At 39.5% G+C, this 15,446-nt stretch overlaps 1 protein-coding gene and 3 non-coding genes across 5 annotated transcripts, besides 3 other annotated features; all 4 read right to left on the bottom strand.

Annotated features, from left to right (window-relative positions):
• On the bottom strand, window positions 518–9,414 carry RABGGTB (Rab geranylgeranyltransferase subunit beta). Of its 2 annotated transcripts, NR_073562.1 has the most exons (11): window positions 9,334–9,414; window positions 8,004–8,111; window positions 6,252–6,449; window positions 5,551–5,656; window positions 5,334–5,456; window positions 5,091–5,162; window positions 4,271–4,323; window positions 4,037–4,147; window positions 3,302–3,427; window positions 1,375–1,524; window positions 518–1,098 (listed from the first exon to the last, which is right to left on the bottom strand). NR_073562.1 is itself a non-coding variant. In NM_004582.4 (9 exons), exons 1-9 carry the CDS (start codon window positions 9,334–9,336, stop codon window positions 958–960), a joined length of 996 nt encoding a protein of 331 aa, NP_004573.2. In that variant the 5' UTR covers window positions 9,337–9,352; the 3' UTR covers window positions 522–957. The 2 variants fall into 2 exon arrangements, 1 of the variants encoding a protein (NP_004573.2); NM_004582.4 differs by lacking the exons at window positions 5,091–5,162; window positions 5,334–5,456 and having other exon boundaries at window positions 522–1,098; window positions 9,334–9,352.
• On the bottom strand, window positions 6,061–6,131 carry SNORD45B (small nucleolar RNA, C/D box 45B). Its single transcript, NR_002748.1, is given in 1 exon segment — window positions 6,061–6,131. It is a non-coding gene; the product is annotated as a small nucleolar RNA, C/D box 45B (small nucleolar RNA).
• On the bottom strand, window positions 7,636–7,719 carry SNORD45A (small nucleolar RNA, C/D box 45A). Its single transcript, NR_002749.1, has one exon. It is a non-coding gene; the product is annotated as a small nucleolar RNA, C/D box 45A (small nucleolar RNA).
• On the bottom strand, window positions 8,459–8,536 carry SNORD45C (small nucleolar RNA, C/D box 45C). Its single transcript, NR_003042.1, has one exon. It is a non-coding gene; the product is annotated as a small nucleolar RNA, C/D box 45C (small nucleolar RNA).
• Window positions 9,261–9,320: a silencer, noted in NCBI's record as "silent region_998". NCBI's record gives its function as "represses an Ori minimal core promoter by ATAC-STARR-seq in GM12878 lymphoblastoid cells {active_cell/tissue: GM12878}" and the evidence as "EXISTENCE:reporter gene assay evidence [ECO:0000049][PMID:35858748]".
• Window positions 9,381–9,610: an enhancer, noted in NCBI's record as "active region_1208". NCBI's record gives its function as "activates an Ori minimal core promoter by ATAC-STARR-seq in GM12878 lymphoblastoid cells {active_cell/tissue: GM12878}" and the evidence as "EXISTENCE:reporter gene assay evidence [ECO:0000049][PMID:35858748]".
• Window positions 10,551–10,770: an enhancer, noted in NCBI's record as "active region_1207". NCBI's record gives its function as "activates an Ori minimal core promoter by ATAC-STARR-seq in GM12878 lymphoblastoid cells {active_cell/tissue: GM12878}" and the evidence as "EXISTENCE:reporter gene assay evidence [ECO:0000049][PMID:35858748]".

Below are 15,446 nucleotides of genomic sequence, written 5' to 3'. Positions count from 1 at the left end.
ATCCCAGCACTTTGGGAGGCCGAGGTGGGTGGATCACAAGGTCAGGCTGGTCTCCAGCTCCTCAGCATGGTGAAACCCTGTCTGTACTAAAGTAACATAAAAATTAGCCGGGCATGGTGGTGTGCGGCTGTAGTCCCAGCTACTCGAGAGGCTGCGGCTGAATTGCTTAAACCCGGCAGACGGAGGTTGCAGTTAAGCTGAGATCGTGCTGCTGCGCTCCAGCCTGGGCAACAGAGATTCTGTCACAAAAAAATAAAAAAGAGTGATTGTACCCATTTTAGCTTTTTAAGAAAAAGACAGGTGCAAAAAAATACTGTGGTGACCATCAACTTACCCGTTAGTGTTTCCTTATTTGAAGACAACTCCTTCTTTGGGTAATTCTGATATATAAAATGCTAAAAAAAAAAAAAAAAAAAAAAAAAAAAAGGACAGTCCGAATCACAACCCCATTTTAAGATGGTAGATTGCCATTTAACCTAAGTCTGTGACCAATTCAGAATAACCATATTCAAACCTATCAATCATTTCCAAATTTCAACAGCCATTTATTTTGTGCATCATTTAATTCATGTATGGGTTCTATCCACTTTCATCAGTTAACATTCTTGTTGACAAACCAATTTACATCAACTTGCTATAGAACAGATGAAAGGTATACATGGGGGAAAAATCAAGTAGAAACCTAGAGTTATTTTATGTTAGCTCAGTTATTGAACATAACAGACACAGAAGTATACACAAAGAACTGTAGTCAGAATAACAGGACTTCAGAATAAAAAGCAGAAAATAAAATACCGGTCTTTATTTTACAATATGTATAATTATATAATTTATTAAAATTAATTTAACACAATATACAAAATATTAACAGTAGTCACTTTTAGATTCGATAAGCACTTCAAATACAGAAATGTTAAAATGGCAAAACTATACTATGCAACTTTCAATTCAATGAATCTAGCTCACTAGCTCAGGCTGAACATTCACTCTCTGAAGCACTTCTTCAGGCATGCAAAAGACAGGATTAACAGGTTTAATCTGTTCTTCTCCCAAAAGTGACAATCCAGCAATTCCAAATAAGGTATGAAAAGGATCCACCTATTTAAAAAAGAATTTATATACAGATCACAAAATGAAAACTTCTTTAACTTCAAATTATGAATACCTGACCTTTACCATATACTAATTTTGTTAGCAACAAGCGACAAGAAATTTCTGTAAGATTGTTCTATATCCTTCATACACTCTACAATAAATAGAAAAAAAAACTGCTTTCAAAGCAACACTCGGAATGCCACCCTGGAAATCCATGGAACCATGAAGTAATGCAAACGCTGAAATAATTTATAGAAATATGTCAGAAATATTACTTGCCATATCTCCTGGCCTGTCTGCAAATCCCCCCGTTTCTTCATCTTGACATGCTAAAATGAAATTACGCAGTTTCTCTCTATCAATCCAATGAAGTCTTCCAATTATCTTTAGGGAAGCCAGGACCCACCATGAGTAGCATACATCTGGTAACTAGGAGGGAAAAAAGTTGCCACAATTTCATTCTCTTTTATTTCCCTAATTTTGAGAACAATTTAAAAGTGGGTTAAGTCTCACTCTTAGGTAATCTGATGTTCAAAGTGTCAAACCATGTGGAAGGACGAAATCCAGGGATATACTGATATGCAGGGTATGAAATACTTGCTTAGAATGAAAGATAATCAATTAATGGGTAAGAAGAGACCAAACTTCAATTCATAGGTAACCATGCTAAATATCTCAGTACTCACTGATAAGCATGCATCTGCTTTGTTTCTATCTGCAATGAATGCCTAACTCAGCCCCTTAACCAAGAAGCTAGCAGTATAATCATGAAATCCATGGGTATAGTTCTGTTTTTCTACAAGCACTGTCCAGGGGGGTACACACCTGCTTAAAATCAACTAAACCCTTGCTCTTCAAAATATGGTGACAGAAGTCTATAAAGAAAACCCCACTCAAGGCTGATCTCATTTTAATGAGATCCCTGAGTAACTCATAGACTCATTAGAAGCTGCCCTAGATTGTGTGCAAGTGCAGGTCCCGGTGCTCCCCACGGCCACCCATTTTTCTGTTGACAGTTCCTCAGGCTTTTTATTTCACTCTATTGTAGACAGCTACTGCGGGTGTTTCTCTACCCGTTGTTATTCAGAAATACTAAGGTTTAAAAATAAAAATACAGGCCGAGCACAGTGGCTCACGCCTGTAATCCCAGCACTTTGGGAGGTTGAGGCGGGTAGATCACCTGAGGTCAGGAGTTCAAGATCAGCCTGATGAACATGGTGATACCCCATCTCTACTAAAAATACAAAATTGGATGGGCGTGGTGGTGTATGACTGTAATCCCAGCTACTGTACCACCACGTCCCATTCAGAGGGCAGGGGCACAGCAAGCTACAATCCTTGAGTCAAATCTATAGTGTAGGAATAGTTTTTACATTTATAAATCATTTAAATATAGTCCTGGGTCAGGCACGGTGGCTCACGCCTACAATCCCAGCACTTTGGGAGGTTGATGCAGGCAGATCACGAGGTCAGGAGTTTGAGACCAGCCTGGCCAATATGGTGAAACCCCGTCTCTAATAAAAATACAAAAATTAGCCGTGCGCCTGTAGTCCCAGCTACTTGGGAGGCTGAGGCAGAACTGCTTGAACCTGGGAGGCGGAGGTTGCAGTGAATCAAGATGGCGTCACTGCACTCCAGCCTGGGCAACAGAGCAAGATTCCATCTGACATAGGAAATACAAGTATATCCATCCATAATAATTGTAATTGGAACACAGCCATACTCATTCATTTCTTACCACTTATGGCTGCACTTGCTCTACAGGACAATTACATAGTTGCAAATGAGTATTCACTATTTGTCCCTTACAGACCTGATAAGAGAGACCTATTATGTGGAGGAAAATTTAATAATCTTCTCTCCAAACCAAATTATCTGGGTATTCCTTAAATAAGAAGATTGCAAACAAAAATTCTGTAGTCTAATTTTTAAAAAATCCAATTTGCCAAAATCAACTGTCCTTAAACATGGAGATTCCTGTACAAGACTGTCTGGAAATGGACATTAGGATCAATGAGTATTTCAACTCATGGGGGTCTACTTTGTCAAGGGGAGTCTTTTAGTAGGATATATTACTGAAAATTCACAACAGGGAAAGGTAATAAATAAGCTCATGGCCAATTTACAATATAGAAACAGGCAAGACAAAGCAGCAGCATTCACTCAAGGTTCTAAAGCTAGCAGAATATGGCTTATCAAACAATACCTTCTCCGGCCTTCCATTGAGCCCGCCTGAGGGTAATTGTCGTTCACAAAGCCACCAGCCAAGTAAATCAGAATTTACTTGATGCAACTGACTTGTAATTGCCAGAAATCCTGTGCAACAATAGATCTAAAATTACAGACATAAAGTTTATGTGTATAATAATTTCTTGACATTAAAAGTGATAAAACTCAAATTATTAAAACACCACTTTATATCTTAAGTTTTTCTTCTTGATCTGACACTTAAAATTCCAAACATGTATTAATACCACATATCTGAAAAAATCCAAGCATACTATTACTAGTATGCAATTCTGCACTGAAATATTATTGTCAAAATTTCTTCATGGCTAGTATTTCACAGCCATCCATTCACATATTCAGTGTTCTCTGGCACAAGAAAAGAGGTTCATAATTTATCTTAGGAAAGAAAGAAAAATGTGTTGTTTTTTTTTTTATCTGTATGGTTAGTGAAAAATTAATGGAAAACAAAAGTGTTTTGGTGCTTATAAACCCACTTATGTTTGCTTAGGTCAGACGAATCCACCGACAGAGAAAGGTATATAGTATATAAAGCAAAGTAATGATAGCAATTAAGCAATTCTTATGTAAGATGCCCTATTACAGTCGAATTAACTTTATGTGTATTTGACAAACACTGAAATAACCAATTTTCTTATTTTACTACACTGGCTTCCAAAATGACAATACATTTTCATCTGTATTCATAAATTACCTGCCCAGCATGGGATTCAGAACCTGGTCTGCAACCAAATCCACCGTCAAAGTTCATACAGGATAAAACAAATTCGATTGCCTTTTCCACATTAATAGCATCAAGCTTCCCCTACAAACAAAAAAAAAGATGCCTGTTAAATTCCAGAGTATTCAGCAGATCAGACTCAAAAAAAAAAAAAATTCCAGAGTATTCATGAACTTTAATCATTTCAATCAAATATTCAAAGCTTACCAACAAAGCCAAAGTTGCCACCGCACAAAAAGAGAATCTTGTGTCAATTTCTCCTACAATAAAAATAGATCAAATCAAGGCAGGTGTTACCAAATCATACATGAGTCATCTAAAAACAAACACTGCACAACTACCACTTTAAATTGAGTTCAAGCTTAACTTTCACTTTAGGGTAGTCAGGAGGAAAGCTAAATCTGAAGTGCCTTTACTTCCCAAGAAAATTCCTTTGTCAAAAATAACAGCAAATTGACCAGGCACAGTAGCTCTTGCCTATAATTCCAACATTTTGGGAGGCTGAGGTGGGAGAATCACTTGAGCCTAGGAGTTTGAGACTAGCCGAGGCAACATAATGGGACCCCATCTCTACAAAAAACTTTTTAAAAAAAATTAGGTGGGGCTGGGCATTGTGGCTCAGGCCTGAAATCCCAGCACTTTTGGTGGCCGAGGCAGGAGGATCACATGAGGCCAGGGGACCCCATCTCTACTAAAAACACAAAAACCAGCCAGGTGTTGTGGTGCACATCTCAGCTACTCTGTAAGCTGAGGCAGGAGAATTGCTTGAGCTTGGGAGGTGGAGGTTGCAGTGAGCCAAGATTGCACCACTGCACTCCAGCCTGGGCAACAGAGCTCTCCAGCCCCAGCAACTGTCTCCCAAAATACTGCACTCCAACCTGGACAGAGCCAAGACCCTGCCACAAAAAAGTAACAGCAAATTATCTTAAGCTGCTTAAAGAAAGCCCAGAAAGAGAAGAAAACCAAAGAGAAGAAAACTAATAGAACCCAAAGTATTAGTCCATTTCTAATAATGAAATAAACTTACCCTACTTTATAAAAGTAGATTTTTCACATCCCATGAAGCAGCTGGTCTCTCTGGCCTGCACTGTGTTCATCCCTAAAGCAGAGATTATCTACGTTTATCAAATAAAATTCTATTCCCTCCCTCCACTCAAATATTCAGCAAGTTTGTAAAGTTTTTTTTTTTAAATATTTTTCCCTTTCCAGCAAGTAGTTTTTAAAAAACTTTACAAAGCCACCAAATATTGGGGAAAAAAATTCCACCTACCTTATCTTTTAGACTGGCCCCCTCTGTTCCAGTGCTCCTGTATATGCTGATATAACTACCACAGTGCATGCTGGAAGTTCCAGCAGACCATTAACTCCAGTTAGACCAGCTGCTTAGTGGGACCTGAAAAGATGAAAAACTTATAAACTGGTTACTAGCAAAACCAGTACATTTTAATATTGGTATTTTGGGTAGAATGGACTAAATCTGACATTACCCCAAATATCTCCAGCAAAAGAACCATCTTCTTTCTGTAGACCTTTAACATATTCCACAACTTTATTTACGTCAATAACATTAATACTGTCATACAGCGTAAGAATCTGCAATAAAGACAAGTATTAGGTAAATGTCCCTTTCAGGTTTATTCTAATGATCTTATGCTCAACTCTTTTTAAGTTGTCAAGCACATCCTTTTGTCTCTGTGTATATAACCTTTTCTCAAATATGCAGACTCTCCTGTTATTGAATAAAATTAGATAGTATCAAGAAAACTCAAATCTTTAAAGTATAATTTTCTACATATAAATTTTAACTTGGCATTCCAAGATACTCAAGTATACTAACTCACATCCACACAAAGTCCTGATCTTCCCATCTCAGCACCCAGTAGTACCAGAAAGACTTTAAACCACCAGGTAGATGTTCACTAATATCAAAATCAAATAGCTCCATTTAGCTATTTTACAGTATTTACACATACTGAAGATAAAAATTTTACCCTCCAAGGTCTCAGTGTAATTTTAGAACTCACATCAACTTTAGATTCAGCTAATACATGCCATTACATCATTGACCTTGTAGGACAGCTTCACTTGTAACAAAACTTTTTGACCAAATCCTGATACAGTTTCAATTTCCAACTCTGAAGTAAGAGAACATACTATCAAGATCGTTGCAATTTTGATTAGTATTTACCTGGACAGCACTAAGAGTGTATAAAAGATGAGGATCATGTCCGATACTAGCACTTATTCCACCACATTCATGTTGGCAAGACTTAATAAATGCCAGAATCTCTTCTCTATTCATGCGATGAAGTTGTCCCATGAGATCCATTACTGTCAGACCCCAATAGATGCCACTCATTCTCAAATACTCAGACATACAGTATTCCTAAAATAATACACAATTTCTTAAATCTGTCATTTGAACTGGTAACAAGTTATAAAGAGATTAAACACAAAGGTAACTCATTAGCCATGCTGCTATTTTTACCTCTCCTGACCTTAACAGCACTGATCAGTAGTGAGTTTAAAATCTGTGCTGCTCAATGTTAGAAGCCATCTTCAGACACAACTATTATCAGAAAAAAACAATTATCTGAGAAGCACAGGATTAGTTAATCTATGGCTGACAATACAAACAGTGCTTTAGTTTCTCCCATGAGCCAGAGACAGAAAAACATCTACCTTTTTCATCAGTGAAGTTCAGGGAGAGTATTTCTTTCCGAGTACCTATACCATATTTATCAGACATCTATTTTAATGTGGACTCTGTACAAAACCTATTATCTATTAGTAAATTATATAACTACATGAAAAATCAAAATGCCCTAAACATGCCAAAGATGTTTAAGCCCAGATAAAACAGTGGCTAATCAATGATACATGAAAATTAGTATTAGGATTCCAGAAACAAATTTTTCCCACACTCAACAATGCATTATATTTTAAGAAGTTTTGTGGCTGGGTGGTGGCTCCTGCCTGTAATCCCAGCACTTTGGAAAGCTGGGGCAGGCAGATCACTTGAGGTCAGGAGTTTGAGACCACTCTGGCCAACATAGCAAAACTCAGTCTCTACGAAAAATACAAAAACTAGCTGGGCATGGTGGAATGTGCCTGTAATCCCAGCTATTCAGGTGGCTCACTTAAACCCAGGAGATGGAGGCTGCAGTGAGCCCAGATCGCACCGCTGTCCTCCAGTCTGGGCAACAAAGTGAGGTTATAGCTCTCAAAAGGAAAAAAAGAAGTTTTTTTAACAGGTGGTGCATCTTAGTTTGCTACTAACCCAAATTCAGGGCATAAAGATAGATAGCAGATAAAGGCAGAAACGAGTCCAGCCCCATCCATATGGCCTTAACTCCATGATTGCTAATAGAGTATTTTCAAGGTTATGGGAACCTAACACTTAAGTAAAAAATTAATACATACCATATATCCCACAAATCGGTAGACTAAGACAACTGAGTTTGGATACTACAGGGAAAAACATTTACTCTTAACTAAGTTGTTTACTACTTTTTGCTAAGATTGTCCCAGAGTTTTCCTCGAAATTTAAAAATTTAAGGTAAAACTTTTTCAAGGTCTCAGAGTAATTCTAGAGCTAAAGTGTTATTACACATCAGCAATAGATTCAGATAATACATGCCAACACATCATTGACCTTGAAAGTATTACCCCTAACTACAAAAAGAGAAACCCGTTTTGTACCTCAAACCCTCATCTACTTTGTCTGGCAAGCCCTCTCAGTATAGGTAAAAACTGAGATTCTAATAAGCCCACAGCCTCAGACGTCCAAAGCACACTTAACTGAAGTTCAAAGGCACAGCACATCCTCAGTTCTCTGCATGGAGTTGGATGCCATTTTAAGACATAAATACTGTCTCACTGCTTATGACTGTCACACTTCTTTAAAATAAACTTTCCAACATAAAAAAATTATACATACATAATCATCTTTCTTTGAGCCATAGGATGCGATATAATCTGCATGTTTCTCCAATAACAAAGTGTCCGGTGCATCTGACTTGATAATAACATCCTTCTGTGGAGTGCCCTTTCAAAATAAAGTGGTAATCTCATCAATGTTTACCTCTACAACGTTCTTCTGCCCCACAGCATAGATTCAACATACATCTCAATTTTCACTTGATTTCATCTTGTAATAGGAAAACGTTCCATTTAAAAATTGTAACTAACTAGGGAGGCTGAGGTAGAAGATCGCTTGAGCCAGGGAAATTAAGGCTGCAGTGAACTGAGGTTGTGTCACTGCACTCCATCCTGGGCGACCGGAGACCGACTCAAAAACAAAACCAAAACAACAACAACAACAACAAATTGTATCCAACAAAAAAGAACTTAAATCATTCAGGCTTCGTCTTAGTCACGATTCAGGTAATTTTCAGGTCTCAGAGTAATTCTAGAGCTAAAGTAGTAATAATCAACTTTAGATTCAGAATACATGCCAACTCATCATTGACCCAAAAAATTACCACCAGCATTTCTTGTTGTTCACTTTTCATTCAAAAAGATAAGTAAAAAATAAACACCATAGAATATCAAAGCTTATCATTTCAGGACAACTTACGGTTTACATGTGGCAGAAAGCATATTTTTAAAAAATAAAAAAATCTAACCCTTAACTTGCAAGCGAATTCTTGCTTAATCAAATGCAGGTTTCAAAGCACCTTCTAAGTACCCCAAAAGTTGTTCAAATGTATTAAATAAGCAGTTCCTTTAGCTCCATCTTCTCCACCTTTAATCCGAGTCTCTGTATTTGCAGAAGTCCCCATGTGATGCGGCTCTAGTTCTTTTCGTATCTATATCTTCCTCATTGAGAGTACACTGCAGTCACTATAACAGGTCATGAAGATTACCGGAAGTGATTAAGTACCGAATTTTCTTCTGATCCCATTAAAAATCTTAAAGCGAGACCACATCACTAACGATTTTAAAGAAATCTTTGACACCCCCTCTCCAAGAAAAAAAAAAGCCACCAATCAGCCACAGCTTTTTAGAGGGGTTCAGAAATCGGGCTGCTCAACTCTTAACAGGCCCTCCCTACAGAAGAAGGCCTGGATAAAATTAGAAGCGGCATTGCCCGCGAGGTCTGCAGAAAACGCTGAGTAATATTTCACACTCAAAAAACCTTCCAAGGCCTGTGTCCTAACCATTCTCCAGCACCAGGAAACCAATCCTAAGGTGACCAGTGTGCTTAACCCTACTCCACCCTGTCTGCTACCAACCCATCCGGACAGCAGCGCTAAACTCACACTTACCATGTCTAACAGGGAAAGGAGAGAGCAGGGTCAGTTCCTGGGTAGACTTAGGAGCCGGGCGCCTGCGCAGATGCGCCTCTCAGGCCCCCATCGCGCTCCGATATAGCTGACCACACTTTCGCCTGCAAGGCAGAGCAGTTCCACGGCTGCCGTAGGACCCCACTGATCGCTCATAGGTGTCCTCACTGCCTGCGTCCAAAGTCCTGCGACCATATGCTTGTCCCATAGTCACTCCGATTTGTCTAGAAACAGTTTTAAATAATATTTAAATATCTGAGTTGCTTTTAAGAAATCATTTGTTCTAGCTGGACGCGGTGGCTTACGCCTGTAATCCCAGCACTTTGGGAAGCCGGACAGCAGGATTGCTTGATCCTAGGAGTGTAACCACCCAATATTGTGGTTCACTTTGCCTGCTGCTGACCGATAGCCCATTTATCAAGACAGGGGACTTGCAATGGAGTCTCCCCAAGCAGTATTCAGAGTTTTTAAAGATAATTCGGCGATTAGGGGCTTGGGAAGTAGGGAGTGCTGATGGGTCAGGTTGGAGATGGACTCATAGTGGGTAGACGTGAGTTTTTCTTGCTGTTTTCTGTTCCTGGGTAGGATGGCAGAACTGGTTGAGCCAAATTACCAATCTGGGTGGTTTCAACTGATCCATGGAGAGCAGGGTCTGCAAAATATCTCAAGAACTTATCTTAGGTTTTACAATAGTGATGTTATCCCCAGGAGCAATTTGGGGAGGTTCAGAAACTTGGAGCCAGAGGCTGCATGACCTCTAAACTGTAATTTCTAATCTTGTAGCTAATCTGTTGGTTCTGCAAAGGCAGACTGGTCCCCAGGCAAAAAAGCGGTCTTTTTGGGAAAGGGATATTATCAATTTTGTTTCAGAGTCAAACCATAAACTGAATTCCTCCCTAAATTGGTTCAGCCTAGGCTCAGGAATGAAGAAGGACAGCTTAAAAGTTAGAAGCGGCCGGTGGCTCACGCCTGTAATCCCAGCACTTTGGGAGGCCAAGGCGGGCGGATCACGAGGTCAGGGGATCGAGACCATCCTGGCTAAAACCCCGTCTCTACTACAAATACAAAAAATTAGCCGGGCGTGGGGGTGGGCGCCTGTAGTCCCATCTACTCCTGAGGTTGAGGCAGGAGAATGGCTTAAACCCGGGAGGCGGAGCTTGCAGTGAGCAGAGATCACGCCACTGCACTCCACCCTGGGCGACAGAGCGAGACTAGTCTCAAAAACAAAAGTTAGAAGCAAGATGGAATCCGTTAGGTCTGATTTCTTTCACTGCCATAATTTCCTCAGTTATAATTTTGCAAAGGCGGTTCCAGGAGATCCAGACCAGCCTGGGCAATGTTGCAAGACCCCCGTCTCTACAAATAATAAAAATATGAGCCAGACGTGGTTGCCCAAGCCTGTGGTTTCAGCTACTGGGGAAGCTGAGGTGAGAGAATTACTTGAGCTGTGGGGCAGGGGGTGGAGGCTACAGTGAGCGGTGATAATGCCACTGCACTGCAGGGTGTGAGACAGAACGAGACCATGTCTCAAAAAAATAAATCATTTGTTCTTGAGGCCCTTTGCACTCTGAAAATCTGAAATGGCTGTTAATTAGTAGAGTGCCTGCTTACACGTAGTAAGTGTTCAATGAATATTTTTTAAATGAATATTAATGAAATGTTCACATTTCCTTCCTGTTTGCCTTATCTATCTCAAGGTCCAGCCCTGTACCCGCCCCCTCTCCTCGCCACACACACAGGCCACCCTCCCCACCACCACCACCGCCACCACAAACACTTCTTCGGAGAGTGCTAATAGTAAAAATATTGGAAGTTACTTTTTTTAAAAAAATTATACTGTAAGTTCTAGGGTACATGTGTACAACGTGTAGGTTTGTTACATGGATATACATGTGCCAGGTTGGATTGCTGCACCCATTAACTCATCATTTAAATTAGGTATTTCTCCTAATGCTATCCTTCCCCCCTCCCCCAACACCATGACAGGCCCCTGTGTGTGATGTTCCCTGCCCTGTGTCCAGGTATTCTCATTCTTCAATTCCCACCTATGAGTGAGAATATGCGGTGTTTGGTTTTCTATCCTTGTGATACTTTGCTCAGAATAATGGTTTCCAGCTTCATCCATGACCCCACAAAGGACATGAACTCATCCTTTTTTATGGTTGCATAGTATTCCATGGTGTATATGTGCCACATTTTCTTAATCCACTCTATCGTTGATGACATTTGAGTTGGATCCAAGTCTTTGCTATTGTGAATAGTGCCCAATAAACATACGTGTGCATGTGTGTTTATAATCTTTGGGTATATACCCCGTAATGGGATCACTGGGTCAAATGCTATTTCTAGTTCTAGATCCTTGAGGAATCACAACACTGTCTTCCACAGTGGTTGAACTACTTTACACTCCCACCAACAATGTAAAAGTGTTCCTATTTCTCCACATCTTATCCAGCTTCTGTTGTTTCCTGACTTTGTTTTTCTTCCTTTTCTTCAACTTCTATTTTATTTTGATTTTTTTTATTATTATTTAAGTTTTACGGTACATGTGCACAACGTGCAGGTTTGTTACATATGTATACATGTGCCATGTTGGTGTGCTGCACCCATTAACTCGTCATTTAGCATTAGGTATATCACCTAATGCTATCCATCCCCCTTCCCCCGACCCCACAACCGTCCCCGGTGTGTGATGTTCCCCTTCGTGTGTCCCTGTGTTCTCATTGTTCAATTCCCACCTATGAGTGAGAACATGGGGTGTTTGGTTTTTTGTCCTTGCGATAGTTTGCTCAGAATGATGGTTTCCAGCTTCATCCATGTCCCTACAAAGGACATGAACTCATCCTTTCTTATGGCTGCATAGTATTCCATGGTGTATATGTGCCACATTTTCTTAATCCAGTCTATCATTGTTGGACATTTGGGTTGGTTCCAAGTCTTTGCTATTGTGAATAGTGCCGCAATAAACATACGTGTGCATGTGTCTTTATACCATCATGATTTATAATCCTTTGTGTATATACCTAGTAATAGGATGCCTGGGTCAAATGGTATTTCTAGTTCTAGATCCCTGAGGAATTGCCACACTGACTTCCACAATGGTTGAACTAGTTTACAGTCCCACCAACAGTAAAAGTGTTCCTATTTCTCCACATCCTCTCCAGCACCTGTTGTTTCCTGACTTTTTAATGATTGCCATTCTAACTGGTGTGAGATGGTATCTCGTTATGGTTTTGATTTGCATTTCTCTGATGGCCAGTGATGATGAGCATTTTTTCATGTGTTTTTTGGCTGCATAAATGTCTTCTTTTGAGAAGTGTCTGTTCATATCCTTTGCCCACTTTTTGATGGGGTTGTTTTTTTCTTGTAAATTTGTTTGAGTTCATTGTAGATTCTGGATATTAGCCCTTTGTCAGATGAGTAGGTTGCAAACATTTTGTCGAGTAGGTTGCAAAAATTTTGTCCCATTCTGTAGGTTGCCTGTTCACTGTGATGGTAGTTTCTTTTGCTGTGCAGAAGCTCTTGAGTTTAATTAGATCCCATTTGTCAATTTTGGCTTTTGCTGCCATTGCTTTTGGTGTTTTAGACATGAAGTCCTTGCCCATGCCTATGTCCTGAATAGTATTACCTAGGTTTTCTTCTAGGGTTTTTATGGTTTTAGGTCTAACATTTAAGTCTTTAATCCATCTTGAATTCATTTTTGTATAAGGTGTAAGGAAGGGATCCACTTTCAGCTTTCTACATATATCTAGCCAGTTTTCCTAGCACCATTTATTAAATAGGGAATCCTTTCCCCATTGCTTGTTTTTGTCAGGTTTGTCAAAGATCAGATAGTTGTAGATATGTGGCATTATTTCTGAGGGCTCTGTTCTGTTCCATTGGTCTATATTTCTGTTTTGGTACCAGTACCATGCTGTTTTGGTTACCGTAGCCTTGTAGTATAGTTTGAAGTCAGGTAGCATGATGCCTGCAGCTTTGTTCTTTTGGCTCAAGATTGACTTGGCAATGTGGGCTCTTTTTTGGTTCCATATGAACTTTAAAGTAGTTTTTTCCAGTTCTGTGAAGAAAGTCATTAGTAGCTTGATGGGGATGGCATTGAATCTATAAATTACCTTGGGCAGTATGGCCATTTTCATGATATTGATTCTTCCTACCCATGAGCATGGAATGTTCTTCCATTTGTTTGTATCCTCTTTTATTTCATTGAGCAGTGGTTTGTGGTTCTCCTTGAAGAGGTCCTTCACATCCCTTGTAAGTTGGATTCTAGGTATTTTATTCTCTTTGAAGCAATTGTGAATGGGAGTTCACTCATAAGTTGGCTCTCTGTTTGTCTGTTATTGGTGTTTAGGAATGCTTGTGATTTTTGCACATTGATTTTGTATCCTGAGACTTTGCTGAAGTTGCTTATCAGCTTAAGGAGATTTTGGGCTGAGACGATGGGGTTTTCTAAATATACAATCATGTCATCTGCAAACAGGGACAATTTGACTTCCTCTTTTCCTAATTGAATACCCTTTATGTCCTTCTCCTGCCTGATTGCCCTGGCCAGAACTTCCAACGCTATGTTAAATAGGAGTGGTGAGTGATGGCATCCCTGTCTTGTGCCAGTTCTCAAAGGGAATGCTTCCAGTTTTTGCCCATTCAGTATGATATTGGCTGTGGGTTTGTCATAGATAGCTCTTATTATTTTGAGATACATTCCATCAATACCTAGTTTATTGAGAGTTTTTAGCATGAAGGGCTGTTGAATTTTGCCGAAGGCCTTTTCTGCATCTATTGAGATAATCATGAGTTTATGTCCTTGGTTCTGTTTATGTGATGGATTACATTTATTGATTCAAGACTTGCATCCCAGGGATAAAGCCTATTAGATCGTGGTGGATAACCTTTTTGATGTGTTGCTGGATTCGGTTTGCCAGTATTTTATTGAGGATTTTTCATCCATGTTCATCAAGGAAATTGGTCTAAAATTCTCTTTTTGTTGTGTGTCTGCCAGGCTTTGGTATCAGGATGATGCTGCCCTCATAAAATCAGTTGAGGATTCCTTCTTTTTCTATTGTTTGGAATAGTTTCAGAAGGAATGGCACCAGCTCCTCTTTGTACCTCTGGTAGAATTCGGCTGTGAATCCAACTGGTCCTGGACTTTTTTTGGTTGGTAGGCTGTTAATTATTGCCTTAATTTCAGAGCCTGTTATTGGTCTATTCAGATATTCAACTTCTTCCTGGTTTAGTCTTGGAAGGCTGTATATGTCCAGGAATTTATCCATTTCTTCTAGATTTTCTAGTTTATTTGCGTAGAGGTGTTTATAGTATTCTCTGATGGTAGTTTGTATTTTTGTGGGATCGGTGGTGATATCCACTTCATCTTTTTTAATTGCATCTATTTGATTCTTCTCTCTTTTCTTCTTTATTAGTCTTGCTAGTGGTCTATCAATTTTGTTGATGTTTTCAAAAAAACAGCTCCTGGATTCATCGATTTTTTTTGGAGGGTGTTTTGGGTCTCTATCTCCTTCAGTTCTGCTGTGATCTTAGTTATTTCTTGCCTTATGCTAGCTTTTGACTGTGTTTGATCTTGCTTCTCTAGTTCTTTTAATTGTGACATTAGGGTGTCGATTTTAGATCTTTCCTGCTTCCTCCTGTGGGCATTTAGTGCTATAAATTTCCCTCTACACACTGCTTTAAATGTTTCCCAGAGAATTTGGTACATTGTGTCTTTGTTCTCATTGGTTTCAAAGAACATCTTTATTTCTGCCTTCATTTCGTTATTTACCTAGTAGTCATTCAGGAGCAGGATGTTCAGTTTCCACGTAGTTGTGTGGTTTTGAGTGAGTTTCTTAATCCTGAGTTCTAATTTGATTGCACTGTGGTCTGAGAGGCAGTTTGTTGTGATTTCTGTTCATTCACATTTGCTGACGAGTGCTTTACTTCCAACTATGTGGTCAGTTTTGGAATAAGTGTGATGTGGTACCAGCGAAGAATGTATATTCTGTTGATTTGGGGTGGAGAGTTCTGTAGATGTCTATTAGGTCTGCTTGGTGCAGAGCTGAGTTCAAGTCCTGGATATCCTTGTTAACCTTCTGTCTCGTTGATCTGTC

Source organism: Homo sapiens, chromosome 1 (assembly GCF_000001405.40).
Source record: "Homo sapiens chromosome 1, GRCh38.p14 Primary Assembly".
NCBI lineage: Eukaryota > Metazoa > Chordata > Mammalia > Primates > Hominidae > Homo > Homo sapiens.
This window is presented reverse-complemented; position numbering and strand designations above follow the sequence as displayed.

What these genes read in the sequence shown, in the direction of transcription:
- RABGGTB (NM_004582.4), bottom strand. An exon ending in ACACTCTTAGTGCTGTCCAG is followed by an intron (nt 5,657 to 6,251) that starts GTAAATACTAAT and finishes TCTTTATTGCAG; the next exon opens with ATTCTTACGCTGTATGACAG. An exon ending in TCAATGGAAGGCCGGAGAAG is followed by an intron (nt 1,525 to 3,301) that starts GTATTGTTTGAT and finishes TTTCCCTCCTAG; the next exon opens with TTACCAGATGTATGCTACTC.